The following is a 19,535-nucleotide window of genomic DNA, read 5'->3' on the forward strand; positions in this document are numbered from 1 at the left end:
TTTTCAGAAACATCTTGCTTATTTCTTAAACTTCAGGTAGATATCTTGAAGGGAAACCCATTACTGTGCTAGGCTCAGTTCTCTGATCTGCTCTTCTCACCAGGAGCTTAGTGCAATAAGTCGCTAATTGTATGCTTTCAGCCCCACATAACAGCCACAGTCTCTGCTGGTTTCTTTTCTCCCCAGCAGTGTCCCTCTGCCCAGACAAAGCGCAGATTTTTGGCTTCTTTTCCTAAACCCAGAACCAGCAACTATTCCCAGGAAGAAAGTGGCTGAAGACTCTCAGCTCAGTATCCACTGCTCCTCTTCTCTTAGGAGCGACGAAGCCCCCAGTCCTGGTAGTTTCGGCAGCTCTCTGATGCCCTTCAGTAGGGTTTTCATTACAGGCAGGAGTAGTGTTTGGCTGCAAACTCCTTACAGCCAAGGACTTCTGACAGCAAACCCAGGGCTTTTCCCAGGATTGTCACAGCTGTGAGGTAGTTGGTGGGCGGCAGGAGCGCAGGTGCAAAGGGTGGAGGTGGTGTGGTGACAGCAGAGTGGAGAAGGTGTGGCCGGTCACATTTGTAGCTGGCTGGGACTCAGATCTTGGCAGCAATATCTGACCTGGGAACAAGACAAGCAGGCCCCTCTGAACAATAGGCAGTTGGCAATGGCTGTTTCCTGCACACCTACCTTTCCTTTTTGGTTACTGTATTGAAACTCACTCTGAGGCCATCTGAAACTGCGCAAGGGCTGGAGGTTTGTCCTGAGCACAAACAAATTAATGTAATAATTTTTAAACTTTTGCCCACCTTTACTCAGCCATCTCTATCAGTAAATTCACACTCACTGCTTCTTCACTTGTCCTGGTGATCCTGCTCCTGGCTGTGAGTCAGACAGGGATATTAGTGGGAATGGGGATGGTCATATATCCAAGGACAAAGGCAGGCAGGCTTCAATCTGGGGGCTCCTTGGTCATTTTTTGTGCCACTTACTTTGCACCTTGGGCATATTTTATTGCTGTCAGGACCAGGCTTCCATCCCTCAGATTTCAAAAGCTCTCATTTCTCTCCTCTTCACCAGAAGCGTCCGCTCAGGGGATCCTGAGCTAATTTGCACTGATGACAGTGGAAAGCAGGCAAATTCATGTAGAGGACTTTATCTCTCTGTGGGCATGTTTCCTCTGTTTTAGACTTTAAAAAGCCCTGAGCTCAAAGCCTGAAGCCTTGTCCAACTCAAATTGCCTTCTCTGAGGTGAGAAGATTTTTGCAGGGTGGGAGAAAGGGGGACTTTTTTTTCCCTATCCTGAAATGTCAAAGTGCCATTACCTATTCATAAAGGGACGATCAGAACAAAGGCAAATTTTAAATCAAGAAACTATTTAAAAGGAAGCAAAGGGACCATGCATTTCTCAGGCAAGATGGATATTCTAGGACAACCCTGAGTTGATATCATGGGTTAGAAAAAAATTAAATGTTCTTTTAAACATGATTTCATGCAGAGAAAAAGGAGCTCTTAAACACTGTTGATAGGAATGTAAACTAGTACAGCCACTATGGCAAGCAGTATGAAGGGTCCTCAAAAAACTACAAATACAATTACTATTCAATCCAACAATCCCACTACTGGGAATCTATCCAAAAGAAAGGAAATGATTATATCAAAGAGGCGTCTGCATCTCCATGTTTCTTGCAGCACTATTCATAATAGCCAAGAAATGAAATCAACGTAGGTGTCCAACACCAGATGAAGGGGTAAAGAAAATGTGGCCTATATACACAATGAAATATTATTCAGCCATAGAAAGAATGAAATCCTGTCATTCGTGGCAGCATGGATGGAACCAGAGGACTTCATGTTAGATGAAATAAGCCAGGAACAGAAAGTTAAATACTGCATGTGCTCACTCATATGTGAAAGATTAAAAAAAGGTTGATCTTGTAGAAGTAAAAAGTGGAACAGAGGATACTGGAGGCTGGGAAGAGAAGAGGAAAGGGAAGAATAGGAAAAAAAAATGACTTCATACAGCAAGACTAAATGTGGGATGCTGGATAGTATCCTGGAACAGCAAAAGGACATTAGGTAAAAACTGAGAAAATAGGAATAAAGTATAGATTTGAGGCTAGGCATGGTGGCTCATGCCTATAATCTCAGCACTTTGGGAGGTCAAGGCACGTGAATCACTTGAGGTCAGGAGTTCAAGACCAGCCTGGCCAACATGGAAAAATCCTGTCTCTACTAAAAATACAAAAAAATTAGCCAGGTGTGGTGACATGTGCTGTAATCCCAGCTACTTGGGAGGCTGAGGCAAGAGGATCGTTTGAACCTGAGAGGCGGAGGTTGCAGTGAGCCGAGATCGTACCACTGCACTCCAGCCTGGGTGACAGAGGGAGACTCTATCTCTAAAATAAAATAAAATAAAATAAAATAAAATAAAATAAAATAAAATAAAATGTATAGACTTAATAGGGTATCAATTTTGGTTCATTAGTGATGACAAATGTACCATAGCAATGTAAGATGTTAATAATAGGGGAAACTGGGTGTGGATATATGAGAATTATCTTCACAGCTTTTCTGTAAATCTGAAACTATTCTAAAATAAAACATTTATTTTAAAAAGTGATTTCACATGCAAAGAAGGTGTTGAAAAGCAAAGGGAGGTGGGACAATAAAAGGTTATGCTTATGACTATTATAAAACCAAATAGAAATAGTAATATTGCACACAGATTTACAGAGTGTGTCAGGAAATCATCTTTATCTAGAAGTAGCACAGTGGAAATGGAGCATTGCAACTGGGGAGAGCAATGTCATAGAGCCCAGCAGCACCAACAAGTCCTCGCTCACTTAAGAATAGCCGTGAGAAGCTTTCAGTGAAAGAAAATGTATATAACTCACAGTTTTTAAAGAGCTAGGCTGGGAGCCAAAAAATATTCTTGGATTCTCTTCTTTCAGTATCTTAACATTAACTTAATGGAATGAACTATTCTACTCAGCTGTTTGAAATGGGAAGTCTATCTCTAAAAGCAACCATTTTATTAATTTTTTTTTTTTTTTGAGACGGAGTCTCACTCTGTTTCCCAGGTTGGAGTGCAGTGGTGCAGTCTCCGCTCACTGCAACCTCTTCTTCTGGGGTTCAAGTGATTCTCGTGCCTCAGCCTCTTGAGTTGCTGGGACTACAGGCACATGGCACCACACCCGGCTAATTTTTTGTATTTTTAGTAGAGATAAGGTTTCACCATGTTGGCCAGGCTGGATTCAAACTCCTGAACTCAGGTGATCCACCCACTTAGGCCTCCCAAAGTGCTGGGATTACAGGCATGAGTCATGATTTTTTAAAAAATAAGACATTCAATTATTCGCTTTTTTCAGTCATTTTTATGCAAAATTTCAAACTTCACACACAAAAGTGGAGAGAACAGTATAATAAGCCCTTATGTGCTCATCACCCAGTGTCATTGGTCATCAAGGCTCACAAAGCTTGTTTCAAATGTTCCCTCCACCCACTCACTTTTTCCCCTAGAATATTGTAAAGCAACTCCCGGATATCAGAAACAGCTTATGCATTGTTGCTGTAAATATTTATGGAGCACCTACTTGCAACACACTCTTTTAGGAAGTGAGCATACAGAGTCAGATGTAGTTGCTGCTGTAAAGGAAAAACTTAAATGTAAACATGATCACCCCAGTTCAGAACACAAAGTCATAAATACTGTGGTAGAGACACAAATAAAATGCTATTGGAAATCAGAGTATGGGTGGAGAATTTCAGCTAGGACATCCAAGAGAAAATTTTGTGATGGAGGTGGCATCTGACTCAGACTATAAATGATGACCAGAGGGGAAGAGCTGGCCACGTCCCCTTGCCTGTGTCCAACCCTCTTACTTCAGACATACACATGGGCACAGGGCATTGCAGAAGAAAGCTATTTCTTCAAAAAACGAATTCACCATCATGGGCCAAATATCAGAGGCAACTTCAGCCTTATTTGGTGAGAAAGAAAGCAAAGAAGGTGAAGTTTTCTATGACCTTAACAGAAAGGGGACTCAGAAATTAAATGATGATTTTTTTATTTTTATTTTTATTTTTTTTATTATACTCTAAGTTTTAGGGTACATGTGCACATTGTGCAGGTTAGTTACATATGTATACATGTGCCATGCTGGTGCGCTGCACCCACTAACGTGTCATCTAGCATTAGGTATATCTCCCAATGCTATCCCTCCCCCCTCCCCCGACCCCACCACAGTCCCCAGAGTGTGATATTCCCCTTCCTGTGTCCATGTGATCTCATTGTTCAATTCCCACCTATGAGTGAGAATATGCAGTGTTTGGTTTTTTGTTCTTGCGATAGTTTACTGAGAATGATGGTTTCCAATTTCATCCATGTCCCTACAAAGGACATGAACTCATCATTTTTTATGGCTGCATAGTATTCCATGGTGTATATGTGCCACATTTTCTTAATCCAGTCTATCATTGTTGGACATTTGGGTTGGTTCCAAGTCTTTGCTATTGTGAATAGTGCCGCAATAAACATACGTGTGCATGTGTCTTTATAGCAGCATGATTTATAGTCCTTTGGGTATATACCCAGTAATGGGATGGCTGGGTCAAATGGTATTTCTAGTTCTAGATCCCTGAGGAATCGCCACACTGACTTCCACAATGGTTGAACTAGTTTACAGTCCCACCAACAGTGTAAAAGTGTTCCTATTTCTCCACATCCTCTCCAGCACCTGTTGTTTCCTGACTTTTTAATGATTGTCATTCTAACTGGTGTGAGATGATATCTCATAGTGGTTTTGATTTGCATTTCTCTGATGGCCAGTGATGATGAGCATTTCTTCATGTGTTTTTTGGCTGCATAAATGTCTTCTTTTGAGAAGTGTCTGTTCATGTCCTTCGCCCACTTTTTGATGGGGTTGTTTGTTTTTTTCTTGTAAATTTGTTTGAGTTCATTGTAGATTCTGGATATTAGCCCTTTGTCAGATGAGTAGGTTGCGAAAATTTTCTCCCATGTTGTAGGTTGTCTGTTCACTCTGATGGTAGTTTCTTTTGCTGTGAAGAAGCTCTTGAGTTTAATTAGATCCCATTTGTCAATTTTGTCTTTTGTTGCCATTGCTTTTGGTGTTTTGGACATGAAGTCCTTGCCCACGCCTATGTCCTGAATGGTATTGCCTAGGTTTTCTTCTAGGGTTTTTATGGTTTTAGGTCTAACGTTTAAATCTTTAATCCATCTTGAATTGATTTTTGTATAAGGTGCAAGGAAGGGATCCAGTTTCAGCTTTCTACATATGGCTAGCCAGTTTTCCCAGCACCTAAATGATGATGTTTTAAAAAAATAAAGGTAATTATAGTTCTTGCACCCCTGAGTTTGAGATATTCACTGTGAGTATTTGAAGATATTGGGGAGAGAATAGATAATTATAGAATTAAGTTTTGCCTTGGAGGTAGCAAAATGCCAAAATGAAGTGTATAGTGTCAGAATAAACCTTAGAAATGAGGAGAGCCACTTCTTCAGGACATCTATGCTGAGCTATAAAGAAAACCTAGGGATAAGAAAGGAGGAAATGCTTATTATAGTAGCTTGATTTTTCTCAGTGAAGTGGAAGCAAGATAACATGTCAAGCATTGGGAATGGGATTTAATTGGAAGTGAAGGAATCCACAAGCTATGATGACTTCACACTCCAGGTTCTTCCCTACAGTTTCCAGCCAATGAGCAGTGAGGTGAGACCACATGGAGAATTCTGACCAGTGAAATGTGCGTATAAATGCCTTGTGTTTCCTCCCTGATGAGGGGTAACACATCATTGAGAGCTGCGGGGTCATCTTCCTCTCTCTCTTCCTGAAACAGCAACCCTGGAGATATGGACTTTTCTTCTAACCCACTGACATTTTGTGATCTATCTGCTAGTGCAGCAAAACATAGGTTATCCTTCCTGGAGCCATACTCTGTGTCCAGCTGAAGGTAGACAGCTTAAATTTGTAGCTAACCAGACCTAGCAAGCACCTGTGTTTCCCTCTAGTATGTCTGCTGGATCTCAGCAATTAGATAAAACTCTAAGAACAGCAACCATGTCTCACACCCCCCTCATAGGACCTAACATAGTGTTGAACAAAGATTCATTCAATGTGAAATAGGTTTGAAGAAAGCCTCCGTGGTTGACCGTTTGGAATTCTCATGCTTCATAACGAGCAGAAAAGAAATCTTAGACGCTTCAGTTAGAAAAATAAGGCGGTGGTCTAAAGAGATAGCTCTGGGAAGAGTGTTTGAATTTTCAGGGTCATGATGTTCATTGTGTTCAATAACAATGAAACGATTGAGCAGAATAAGTTCCCACAGGCAAGGCTTTGGTTTAAGTATCAGATCTGGGGCCAGGGCACCAACTCAGACACCATGCCGATTTAAAAATTATACTTACTGCTCGATTGTTCCCCAAAATATTTTTGATCAACTATACAATTTCAAAACAACTGTAGATGTGAGTCCTGGATATAGTACAGTCTCAGGGAATGTTTCAAAAATAACACAATCATTATAGAATCAAGACGTTTTAGAGATGATCTTAAGGTATCATAAACTTTTGTTCTTAGAAAAATAAGGCAATCCCTGCCAACAGCAGTAATGTTAGGTCAGCAGGTTCCCATCTGAAGTGCCTACAAAACTCTGCGGAAAGAACACAGAGGAAATATAAGTAACTGTAAGAAATCATGATAGAGAATAGAATTTCATAATGCTTTCATAGACTCAGCAGTTTAGTACTTAAAAGAGTGAACTAGAATAAACCCATAATTTCTTATGGAAGATAATAATTATAATTAACATCTATAATAGTATTTTGTAATGAAAAGTATTTTCCTGTATATCATGCCTTTTATTTCTTACAACAAATGTCTAGAGTCAGTAATATTATTAGTTCTATTTTCAGTAAAACAAACAAAAGGCCACAGACACTGTTCACTTTCAATTATGGGAACATTGGAAGAAATTAAGCCTAAATGTGGGTGCTTCACTGAGCCCCTTTGGTTGCTTATGTCGGAGCTGGGTATAACTCTAACTATAGAATGCTCAGTTGGACTAGAGGGAACCCTCTTGCCATCTCTCCTCAGTAGGCTGTCTGCCTGTCCAGTCTATTGGGTGTGATCCATGCAGCACACTTGCCCATGGCCAGGATAACAGGTGACACCTCCTGCCCTCCCATGGATGATAGACACACTGCTTCCTAAATGCATCTGGCATTGCTTCTGTTTTTCAAGTGAAGTTCTGAACAAACAAGGAGATATTTGCTCATGGCGCAGGCTTGACTCAACGGAGTAGAAACTCTAAGTGCCTTTGAACTCATTATAGAAGTTTTAAGCAGTTTTATGCTTTCTAGGAGGTGGCACCTTAAAACTACCTTTGATGCCCATTGTCTTTTTGTTCTAAAAAAAAAGACTCTTGAGTAGGCTCCTTAGCGAAGCAAATGGAACTCTCAGGGGAAGGTCTGGATGTGATGAATTAGAAGTCAGCCACCCCTGCCTTTTTTTGTTTTCCATTTGCTTGGTAGATCTTCCTCCATCCCTTTATTTTGAGCCTATGTGTGTCTCTGCATGTGAGATGGGTCTCCTGAACACAGCACACTGATGGGTCTTGACTCTATTCAATTTGCCAGTCTGTGTCTTTTAATTGGAGCAATTAGCCCATTTACATTTAAGGTTAATATTGTTATGTGTGATTTGATCCTGTCATTATGATGTTAGCTGGTTATTTTGCTCATTAGTTGATGCAGTTTCTTCCTAGCATCAATGGTCTTTACAATTTGGCATTTTTTTGCAGTGGCTGGTACCGGTTGCTCCTTTCCATGTTTAGTGCTTCCTTCAGGATCTCTTGTAGGGCAGGCCTGGTGGAGACAAAATCTCTCAGCATTTGCTTGTCTGTAAAGGATTTTATGTCTCCTTCACTTATGAAGCTTAGTTTGGCTGGATATGAAATTCTGATACCCTTTCTTCCAGTTGATCGAATCGGCTACTGAAGCTTGTGCATTCAATCACGTAGTACTCGTGCCATGGTTTTCAGCTCCATCAGGTCATTTAAGGACTTCTCTACACTGGTTATTCTAGTTAGCCATTCGTCTAATCTTTTTTCAAGGTTTTAGCCTTTTTGCAATGGGTTTGAGCTTCCTCCTTTAGCTCAGAGAAGTTTGATCGTCTGAAGCCTTCTTCTCTCAACTCATCAAAGTCATTCTACGTCCAGCTTTGTTCCTTTGCTGGCGAGGAGCTGTGTTCCTTTGGAGGGGGAGAGGCGCTCTGATTTTTAGAATTTTCAGCTTTTCTGCTCTGTTTTTTTCCCATCTTTGTGGTTTTATCTACCTAATTAACTAAAGAGCTTCTGCACAGCAAAAGAAACTACCATCAGGGTAAACAGGCAACCTACAGAATGGGAAAAAATTTTTGCAATCTACTCATCTGACAAAGGACTAATATCCAGAATCTACAAAGAACTTAAACAAATTTACAAGAAAAAAACAAACAACCCCATCAAAAAGTGGGCAAAGGATATGAACAGACACTTCTCAAAAGAAGATATTTATGCAGGCAACAGACACATGAAAAAATACTCATCATCCCTGGCCATCAGAGAAATGCACATCAAAACCACAGTGAGATACCATCTCACACCAGTTAGAATGGCAATCATTAAAAAGTCAGGAAACAACAGGTGCTGGAGAGGATGTGGAGAAATAGGAACACTTTTACACTGTTGGTGGGACTTTAAACTGGTTCAACCATTGTGGAAGACAGTGTGGCGATTCCTCAAGGATCTAGAACTAGAAATACCATTTGACCCAGCCATCCCATTACTGGGTATATACCCAAAGGATTATAAATCATGCTGCTATAAAGACACATGTACACATATGTTTATTGCAGCACTATTCACAATAGCAAAGACTTGGAACCAACCCAAATGTCCATCAATGATAGACTGGATTAAGAAAATGTGGCACATATACACCATGGAATACTATGCAGCCATAACAAAAGGATGAGTTCATCTCCTTTGTAGGGACATGGATGAAGCTGGAAGCCATCATTCTCAGCAAACTATCACAGGGACAAAAAACCAAGCACCACATGTTCTCACTCATAGGTGGGAATTGAACAATGAGAACACTTGGATGCAGGAAGGGGAATATAACACACCGGGGCCTGTTGAGGGGAGGGGGGAGGGATAGCATTAGGAGATATATCTAATGTTAAATGATGAGTTAATAGGTGCGGCGCACCAACATGTCACATGTATACATATGTAACAAACCTGCATGTTGCGCACATGTACCCTAGAACTTAAAGTATAAAAAAAAAAAAGTCAGCAGATGTGTGTTGCATCTTATGTCTCTTGCAACAACAGAAATTTTCGAAGTTTGAACTAAATTGTACAAACTAATTAGTTTATTGTAGTAACCATGCACTGTTCTATTGCTGGTGTTCCTAGTTTTGCGGCTTCTTTCTTGAGCACTTGTTTGCAGGAAAAGCAGAACTATGATGAAGACATGAGCCAAGCATTCAGGCCATGATAACAGAGAGGTTGGAGAGGAGTCAGTCAGAGTTCTGTGTGGTTCATCGTGGATTGGATTGTTGCTCTCTCACATAGAGTGTTGCTTAAAATTGAATCTAGGCTTTGATAAATCTAATGAAATGGAGCTATTGTGGAATTTCCTTGGAGACTTACATTTGGGTCACACCTGTGGAAAGGGTGGGATGTTTCCTGAAGGAATGAATATTTACAGAGTCAATCATCCTGGAGAAGATATCCTAGGCAAATGAGGAAGTTGGCCTTAGAATGCATCAATGAGGGCCAGGAGCGGTGGCTCACGCCTGTAATCCCAGCACTTTGGGAGGCCGAGGTGGGTGATCGCCTTAGGTCAGGAATTCGAGACTAGCCTGGCCAACATAGTGAAACCCAATGTCTACTAAAAATACAAAAAATTAGCTGGACATAGTGGCAGGCGCCTGTAATCTCAGCTACTTGGGAGGCTGAGGCAGGAGAATTGCTTGAACCAGGGAGGCAGAGGTTGCAGTGAGCCAAGATCACGCCATTACACTCCAGCCTGGGCAACAAGAGCGAAACTCCATCTCAAAACAACAAAAACAACAAAAGAAAGAGAATGTACCAAGGAACATGGCGTTCTCCTCTCTCTGCTAATTTCAGCTATGACTCTGGTATATAACACTTCTTGTAGAGGAAACTATGGATTCTCATGCGGGAAATATGTAGTCTTCATATTGCTATTTACATTGAAAATATTATTTACATGACACTTCCATTATAGCTATATCTTAAGTTTAATCTTGTTAACAGTTACAGTCTAACCTCCTTTGTGAATAAGGAATTCCGAGAAATGGGCTGTCCACAGCTTGACATTGAGCATCGAAAGGGAAGAGGGGAGGGATAGGGACTGTGTCGTTCCTGACCACTGTGCCCAGTGGATTTGTGACCTCAAGACAACTATCAACCACAGCGACAGCAGCCTGGCAGCCCAGGAATAAGGTGGAGAAACCAAGGTCCTGAAGTCTGCACCCCAAGGACTTTCCAAAATCCTTGGACAGATGAAGTTCTGCCAATACAGCGATAAGGCCTCAGACCACTCAACTGGGCTATACCTACAGATGGGACAGATAGAAACAAGTTCCGTCAAGAAGAATGTGTAGAAAAGAAAATTAGCCCAGAGGTTGATAGATGTTATTGTTCTGCTGGTAAAATCATAACAAACTCCTTTTGTTTTATTTTGCTTTTAGCTACACTTAGAGGAGAAGGAGGTAAGTTGCAAGAAAGCAATCAGAGCTTAACATTTTCTAGTGTGTGCCCTAGCAATTCTGTGTTCAGAAAAATTACCTGAGACACTAGACTATCTTACATCATCTTAGATATTTTTATTCTATCATACTTATTAAAATTAAAAAGTAAACATTAGAGAAACATTTTTTCATGATAAATACTGAAATGTTGTGGTAATGTCATAAATATGTAATATTTGTTCTAAAATATGCAATAATTATTAGAACTTTTCTAGGTTGAGGACTAAGTGCTTTCAAGCTTCAAGAAGACGCTCTTGGCCAGGCATGGTGGCTCATGCCTGTAATTCCAGCACTTTGTGAGGCCAAGGCCGGCAGATCACTTGAGTCCAGGAGTTTGAGACCCACCCTGACCAACATGGCAAAACCTTGCCTTTACAAAAAATTAGCTGAACATGGTGGCATGTGACTGTAATCCCAGATACTCAGGCGGCTGAGGCATGAGAATCGCTTGAACCCGGGAGGCAGAGGTTGCAGTGAGCCAAGATCGTGCCACTGCACTCCAGCCTGGGCAACAAAGCGAGACCCTGCCTCAGAAAAAAAAAAAAAAGAAAAAAAAAAGAAAAAAAGAAAGAAAAAAAAGAAAGAAGCAGCAGCAGCTCATTTCTATGACTACAAATTGTGTTTTATCTCTGGCAGGCTTCCAAGTAAAAGAGGTCAAGTAAGAAAATTTGTATTGCACATCTTCCTCTATCACTCCCAGTAGGAGGAAAAAATCTCTAAAAAGCAAATACAGTCAGTTTAGTTAATAGCATCTTCTTCTATTCCCACTACTCTCTTACGAGTTGGGTGACTCCCTACAAGTTATTAAACCTACCTCCACCTCAGTTTCATCATCTTTAAAATGTGGTAAATAATAGTTCTACCTCACAATTGTTGTAAGAATTAAATGAGAGCCGGGCGCGGTGGCCCACACCTGTAATCCCAGCACTTTGGGAGGCTGAGGTGGGCAGATCACAAAGTCAGGAGTTCGAGACCATGCTGGCCAATATAGTGAAACTCCGTCTCTACTAAAAATACAAAAATTAGCCAAGCATAGTGGCACATGCCTGTAGTCCCAGCTACTTGAGAGACTGAGACAGAAGAATCGCTTGAACCAGGGAGGTGGAGGTTGCAGTGAGCCGAGATCACGCCACTGCACTCCAGCCTGGGTGACAGAGTGAGACTCCATCTCAAAAAAAAAAAAAAAAAAAAAAAAAAAAAAAAGAATTAAATGAGAATCAGAGTGAGCAACACAAAAGAAGTGCTCGGTAAGTATTTACTATTGATCCAATACGACTGTCCAGTCTAAGGCAAGTTCACAAGCGCCATACCACCGTTGACATGTTTCTCCTCTCACCTACTCTGTGGTTGTGATCATATTGCCTGTGCTGCAAACTGACATTTTCAGTGCCCTCAATGTACATATGGAAAATACTTTCCTGCCCTAAAAAATTCTAATCGGTCCACAGAGATAATCATCTTTATCATCATAAATTATTATTTTCTTCCAAACCTAAATGATACAGATATTTCTGATAGTAGCACAGACTCCTGTCTTAAGGAAGCTACTAGGAATTTGCACACAATGCCCCTACATCAATGTACATGCTGACATAGACTCATATTTGCAAGAGATTTTTAAGGGACCACCTATGTCTCTCATTTGAATGGGGAAAATTACTTTCCATCAGAGCCAGGAGCACTTGCAGAGATAGACGAGAGTCCCAAGCCTGCAGCTTGCTGAGGGCCTGAGAGGCTGAAGCTGTGTGCTCTGCTCCGGGCTTCCCCACCAGCTTCCTCCGTGACTTTGGCAAAGCTCTCCAGGGCATAGAACCCAAAGCTGGCCCACACAATGGCATGGTTATCTTGGCATGAAAGCAATAGTTGCAAATTGGCGTGCTAGTTCAAAGAACTGGGAAACAAAAGCAGACGTGAGTTTTGACATACACTCTGGGAGCTGAGAATGGTGAGCGCACAGGAAAAGCGGGAATGCTAATGAGCATTGTTTTAAGCAAGCAAAGTATACAACTGCTGAACATGGCCATTTACTCCCCCAATGACTTTGTAAGCAAACCAGATTTTACCTATCTGATACCCCTCAAATGGTTTGATTTGATATGGGGTTGTCTTGAGAAACTTAAGTTTTTCTCTTTGCCATTCTTATGATTCTTCTCTCCATTTCTCCATCCCACCAAATAAAAATCCATTGGTGAGAATAAAATTCTCTTTCTCTTAGAGAATTTACGAGGGCCCTTGTAATAATCACTTCTGAAGAGGAGAATTGGGAATCCCACAACAAAGTACCACCTGTGGCATTGGGTGACTGTCTTCCTCTGATGCCAGGAACACAGAGCTGTTTCCCAGCAATGGGAAGAATTGGCCAGGCCCACCAAATTCCACTTGCTTGTCAAGTGTGAGGGGTACCAGAGGCATAGCCTTTTGGGACCTCTGAGGGTTGAGGATGCTGAGGAAGAGAATGCAGAAGCCCCCGCTATAAAGTGACAGCTGCAGACTGTGAGTGCAGAAGGGGCAGAGGCCAATAGCAGGATCGTGGCTCCCTGCCCATCTGCAGGGGAAGCCGGCACACCTGAGAAATGGAAAGAACATTCCTCCAATTAGTTAGCTTTCATCCCAGGAGTCTTTGTTAAGGAGCCTGTGGCTTGGGGAAGCTGTCGAAGCCCAAGAACAAACAGATTAACCCCTTCCTTTTGAGGGCCTATGAAATAGCTCATCAAGGAAGAGGAAAGATGAAGACAAGAACCTGCAGGACAAGGGAAAGACATAGAAGTGGCATAATTTAGGCCGACTGGTGACCTCTATAGTAAAAGGCCTCAGGGAGGGGAATTCTCTTTTCAGTATCCTTCAGGGAATTTTCCTTCTCACCTTCCTGGCCCTGTCTCAGTCTCCCATACAAACCAACCCAACTTTAAATGCTGGGGCTTCTAGGGGGCACCAGTGGAGCCCTTTGCCTTCTCCTGTTATACACAGTCCCCAGGAATCGCCAGATACTCCTGTGGCATCAGTAGCTACCCGAATTCCAAGGACTCTCCCATCGAGAGTTCCAAGTCAGCCCCACTCTTGAGCCTCAGCCTACCCTTTTAACTATTGTGCTTCTACTCCCTCTTCCTCCAGAAGCATCGGACTCCATGGGGGCAGGACAACTCACCCGTGTTCCTCAAAGCCTGCCCTGTTTCTGATTCATGTCTTTGTGAACAGCACTATCACTCACCCAGGCCAGAAACCTGAATACATCTTCCAAATCTGTCTCTTGCTCTCCATTCCCATCACCAAGACCTCAGCTCAGATGCCCTGTCTTCCTCACCTGGCTGCTATCTGGAATCCCTCTCTCCAGTCTCATCTTCCAGTCAGCTCCTCACAGTGTTATCATGTTAGTGTTTCCACAAGATGGAACATTCTCTGTCATGGGAAGTTTGTACTTGTCTTACACCTTTGCCCAGAGTCCCATTGCTGAGAACCATAAGGCACTCTGAAGAGCCATAGAGAGAGCTACCAGTCACCTCCTTCCAGGGCTGGCTGAGAAGAGGCCGAATGGGTGCTTCATCTCTCATTCCCACCACTGCATCCAGCAAGTACATACAGAAGCCTGGAGCTCATTAGGTCTGAGCAGTAAGGAAGAGGAGGCATTGAGCCCTTCAGTGGAGGGGAGGAGTGCTGTGGCTTTACCCCTCCATGTACCCCAGGGAGGTGCGATATAAGAGAATTCTTCCAGAAGAGTGGAGTTGCCAGCACAGAAGGACCCTGAGCCTTCACTCCCAGCTTGATGTTTACTGAATGACAGTAACTAGGAGGCCCATCCCAGTCACCCAAAACAAAGCATGACAGACAGCCCCTGGGAGAATTTGACTTCTATCTTCTGGAGTTTGTCAACATATGTGAAGACAGAGGCAGATAGGAGACTGCTTCTCACCTGCCATAGTCTGAACACTGCTCAGATAGGGGAAGAGAAGAAACAGTGGACCCACCTGAGTTCCCAGCAAGGATACACACATTTCCATGGGAAAATACATGCCACAGAAGGAAGTGGGACTCCTGCCATCCAAGGGACTCAGGGGTCTATTTTCGGAGGCAAGAGCTAGGAAGCTGTCACAAGAAACAATCTCTAGAATACATCACCTATGTCAAAGAAGTGCACAGTATCAAGGTCTTGCAGAACCTTCCAAAAAATATCTGAAAATAAACACACACAAGAATATTTCCGCCTTTTCCTTCAGCTTTTACCTCTTTCAAATCTTACAGCAAGAAACAGAGATGATAGAGTAGATTCAAACTGCAGGCTCCAGCCCCCAGGTCAGGATGGAGATGAGGGGCAGAAGGTGCCGGTTAAATGTGAGTGGTGTTGTGATTTAGATACTACTTGATTTGTTAATATCTGTAAATGAGTCAATTGTCAAAATAAGACTGGTCTTAGAGTCAAATGTGCCTGGAAACCTACAGAATCTTCTACAGATGTTTTCAAATGTTGAGGAAGAAAGACCTGGTATGACACATTTAAAAGCAGTGTTGGGATAAAAACAAACTCACACCTCATACTCCAAAGTCAAAATTATCATGTCACTCTTCCGCTTGAAATCTTCTCAGTGGCTTCCAGACATAATTCTTGGCATATAATACACATAATAAATGCTATTTTTAAGAAAAAAAAACAATTGAGCACATCTACATCAGACACAAAAAATCTGAGTCCAAGTCCTAATTTTCTGTTTATTATTCAGGATGTCGGAGAAGAAATCTACTTTTGTGAACCTCAGCTTTCTCCTGTATAAATGAAGAAAACAGCAATGTTACCTCACAGCTTTGTTGCAGGATTAAATAGTAACATGAATGTAAGTAGTATTCTGTCAATCACTTCGCAAAATATAAAGCACTATCCAAATATTCATTCATGAATTCCCTCATTCAGTGAAGATGCCCTTGGTGCTGGAGAACGAGTGGTGAATGAGATGGACAAAAACGATGCTCTCTAGTTGGGGGAGACAGACAAAAGAAAAAAAGATCACGTCAGAAAGCCCTAAGTGCCATGAAGAAAATAAAATCAAGAGAGTAAGAGCGATCTGGATAAAAATAAGCCTCCTTTAATTGAAAGGAGCTAGATTGAGTGGCCTGGGAGGGCCTCTTTGAGGATGAGACACTTGCACTGACATTTTAACCACAGGAAGGAAAAACCAGAGTCTTGCAGAGACTTACAAGCAAAGACTATAGAAAGAACAAAGGCTTTCGGTTGATCTAGGCTTGGGGTGCGTGAAGAAAGAAAGAAGAATGTGGACACCATGAGCCAGGGAACAGAGCTTATAATCTGGTCAAATGGGGTCAGTTCGCGGTGGGCCTTGGTATTTTAGGTAAGTATGCTTACTTGATTTTAGTTGTTATTTTATAAGCAACAACGACAACAAAATTGTAAGCTAGTTTTTTTTTTTTTTCTTTCTGAGATGAGGTCTCACTCTGTTTTGCCCAGACGGAACTCAAACTCGTGATCCTCTCACCTTAGCCTCCCATGTTGCTGGGATTGCAGGTGTGCACCACCGCACCTGGCTGAAATCATAAGCATCCAGAAAAGGAAGGTTCACCTTAGGGTCTTTCCCTTTCTCCTTTCTGTACCCCTCTCCCAGTTGTTCTGCCTGTTCCCCCAGATCTCTAGGATCCTCTCCTGCCTTCAGATGACTATCCAATCCCCTCACCCCTCTTGCCCGTTTACTCACGTGAGAGTGGTGTTTTGATTTAGATGCCACCGAACTTGTTAATGTCTGTAAGTGAATTAATTATCAAAATAAGACTGAGTTAAATGTGCCTGAAAACCTACAGAATCTTCTAGAGGTGTTTTCAAATGTCTACCTCAGAGGAACCAAGGTCTACCTCAGAGGAACCCTCCCTAAGGCCAAATCACTGCTGGGTTGTAAAACAATTAAAATTCAATAAGATGAGTATACCTTTTAAGTTTATCTACTTTAAGATTTAACTAATTTACCTTCTAAAGATAATGCTTATTGATCAAAATGAAACACTAACTGCCAACTTTTAAGGTGATAGAACAGGGTGAGGCATTTTGAAGTAATATAGGTTATTGATATGCCAATGTTCCAATGTAAGAAAAATATCATATGAAGTGACTTTTTAAAACATGAGCACTTATCTATTTTCCGTTTTCTGGCAGTTGGTAATCTGGTCCTCTGGAAGCTACATTTCCAAGTTCCAAACCTAACAAGCCCTCTCCTGCTCACATATTTCTGACCTACAAAACAATCAAGCCATTGAAAGGCAGGTATATTAGTCAGGATTCTCCAGAGAAACAGAACCAATGAGAGAGAGAGAGAGAGAGAGAGAGAGAGAGAGAGAGAGAGAGAGAGATTAGACGTGTTAGAGACGATATACTATGAAAATTGACTCACATGATAATAGAAGCCGGAAAGTCCCACAACGTGCCATCTGTAAACTGAAGAATCAGGGAAGCTGGAGGTGGTATAATCCAGTCTGAGTTGGAAGGCCTGAAAACCAGGGGAGTCTTGCTGGAGGGGTGGGGTTTGGGAGGTGCTGGTGTTAAGTCCTGGAGTGTGAAGACTGGAGAACAGGAGCTGTGATGTCTGAGGGCAGGAGAAGATGGACATCTCAACTGAAGAAGGGAGAGCAATAAGGCCTGCTCATGTCCGTCAGTGAAGGCAGATCTTCTTTACTCAGTCTATGGATTCAAATGCTAATCTCTTCTGGAAATACCCTCAAAGAAACACCCAGAAATAATGTTTTACCAGCTATCTGGGTATTCTTTAATTCCATTAAGTTGATGCATAAAATGAACCATCATGGCAGGTATTTTGCCATTGTCATGAAACACATTTTGAGAATGTTAAGGAGGCTATGAATTGACCATCTCTTGTTCTTCCTGGTTCCATCCAGCAGACCCCAATATTTTGTCTGATCTATACCTGCATCTCTAGCTATAGCTATGTTCATTTCCTTATCCATATTGTATCTTATGTCATCAGTGAAAAGATGAGGACTGATGTTCTTCATTCATAGCTTTCTTTACTTTGAATGCTCACAGTAACCATATTCATATTCAAATCAGTAACCAACAAAGGTAAGGGAATGAAATATATTTTTTTAGATATCCAAATTTATACAGTTATTAATACCTGTGAAGATTCATGGATATAGATATTTCTTTTCATACATGACACCTCTAACATGACTCTCCCTTTGTCTCAGCCCATGTCAGCTTTGACATGGCTGCTGACTATTCCCGTGAGATGTGGTTGCAACTGAGCCCTGGTTCAAGGGGTCTTCCCTGCAGCTGGAGGGCTAATGTATTAGGCCATTCTTACATTGCTATAAAGAAATACCTGAGACTGGATAATTTATAAAGAAAAGAACTTTAATTGGCTGACCGTTTTATAGGCTGTGGAGGAAGCATGATGCTGACATCTCCTTGGCTTCTGGGGAGGCCTCAGGAAACTTACAATCATGGCAGAAGGTAAAGGGGGAGCAGACATGTCACATCGCCAGAGGAGAAGCAAGAGTGAGAGAGAGGGGAGGTGCTACACACTTTTAAATGACCAGATCTCCTTAGAACCCACTCACTATTGGGAGGACAACATCAAGAGGATGGTGCTAAACCATTCATGCGAAATCACCCCTATGATCCAATCACCTCTCACCAGGCCCCACTTCCAACAGTGGGGATTACAATTCGACAAGATTTGGGTGGAGACACAGATCCAAATCATATCAGAACCCTCTGAGGCCACGATAGAGAACCCAATGGTGGTTATGTAGGCTGGCAACCATTAGCTAACATCAGGATCCCTTCCAAGGAACAGGGAAACTTCCTAGAAAATCCTTTCACTCTTGACAAAGCCTAGCTTCCAAGATTTAATGCAAAAATCTTACTTTGGTAATTGAAAATAAAAAATGAATATTGACTGTTTCTTTGCATTCCCATCTCAATTGCCCTACAGATAGTATCTTGGGCTGACTTCAGAGAAAGTCTTAGACATGCAAAAGGGAAAATAATTTTTTTTTCAAAAACATTACCCTGATGAAAGTTTGAGTTATGAATTGAATCAAGCTCTGTACTTGTAGGTGGGAATAAAAAGATGAATGAGATATGACCCCAACTTGCAAGAGTCTCCTTCTGGTGGGGGGATACATGTAAAAGGATAATTATAATACTGAATGAAAAGCTTAGATTGAAACATTCCCCTGCTCCTCAATTCCTCCCTACTCTGCCTTTATTTTGTGATAGACACGATACTGGCTGAGCAATGGAAAAATTCAAAGTAAGACACTTTATTTGGGCTCAGTTGGAATTTGACTAGCAAATAATTTATTAGGGAAAGCCAATAGGAAAGTAGTCGCCCTGTGGCACACAGGAAAAAGAGCTGTGAGGGGTGGCAAGAGATCATTCTTTTTCTAATGAGAAAATTTCAAAAATATGCTAAAAATCTGTTGCCACATAACATTTTGAAGAATATGGTATATATGAATCAGAATCGACACCTTCCAAAATGAACAATAGCTACAGATGTAACAGCTTTCATAATAAAACTGATTTAGAAAGTTGGTAGAAACAATCACCAAAACATTTGGCGGAAAATCACATTGTAAAGTGGCTTTGTAATCTTAAACAGGAAAGCACAATATATTTTTCATTAAAGAGGGTTGATCAAAACTAATTTCTAATTTTTTGTTACTATAATAATAATGATTCAAATACAAATG

At 41.5% G+C, this 19,535-nt stretch overlaps 1 annotated feature.

The window, feature by feature from the left end:
- Positions 15,811–17,010: an enhancer, noted in NCBI's record as "CDK7 strongly-dependent group 2 enhancer chr13:40572319-40573518 (GRCh37/hg19 assembly coordinates)". NCBI's record gives its function as "activates an origin of replication core promoter dependent on BRD2, BRD4, P300/CBP, MED14 and CDK7 cofactors, with strong dependence on CDK7, by STARR-seq in HCT116 cells {active_cell/tissue: HCT116}" and the evidence as "EXISTENCE:reporter gene assay evidence [ECO:0000049][PMID:35650434]".

The sequence above is a fragment of the Homo sapiens genome, chromosome 13 (genome assembly GCF_000001405.40).
Source record: "Homo sapiens chromosome 13, GRCh38.p14 Primary Assembly".
Lineage (NCBI taxonomy): Eukaryota > Metazoa > Chordata > Mammalia > Primates > Hominidae > Homo > Homo sapiens.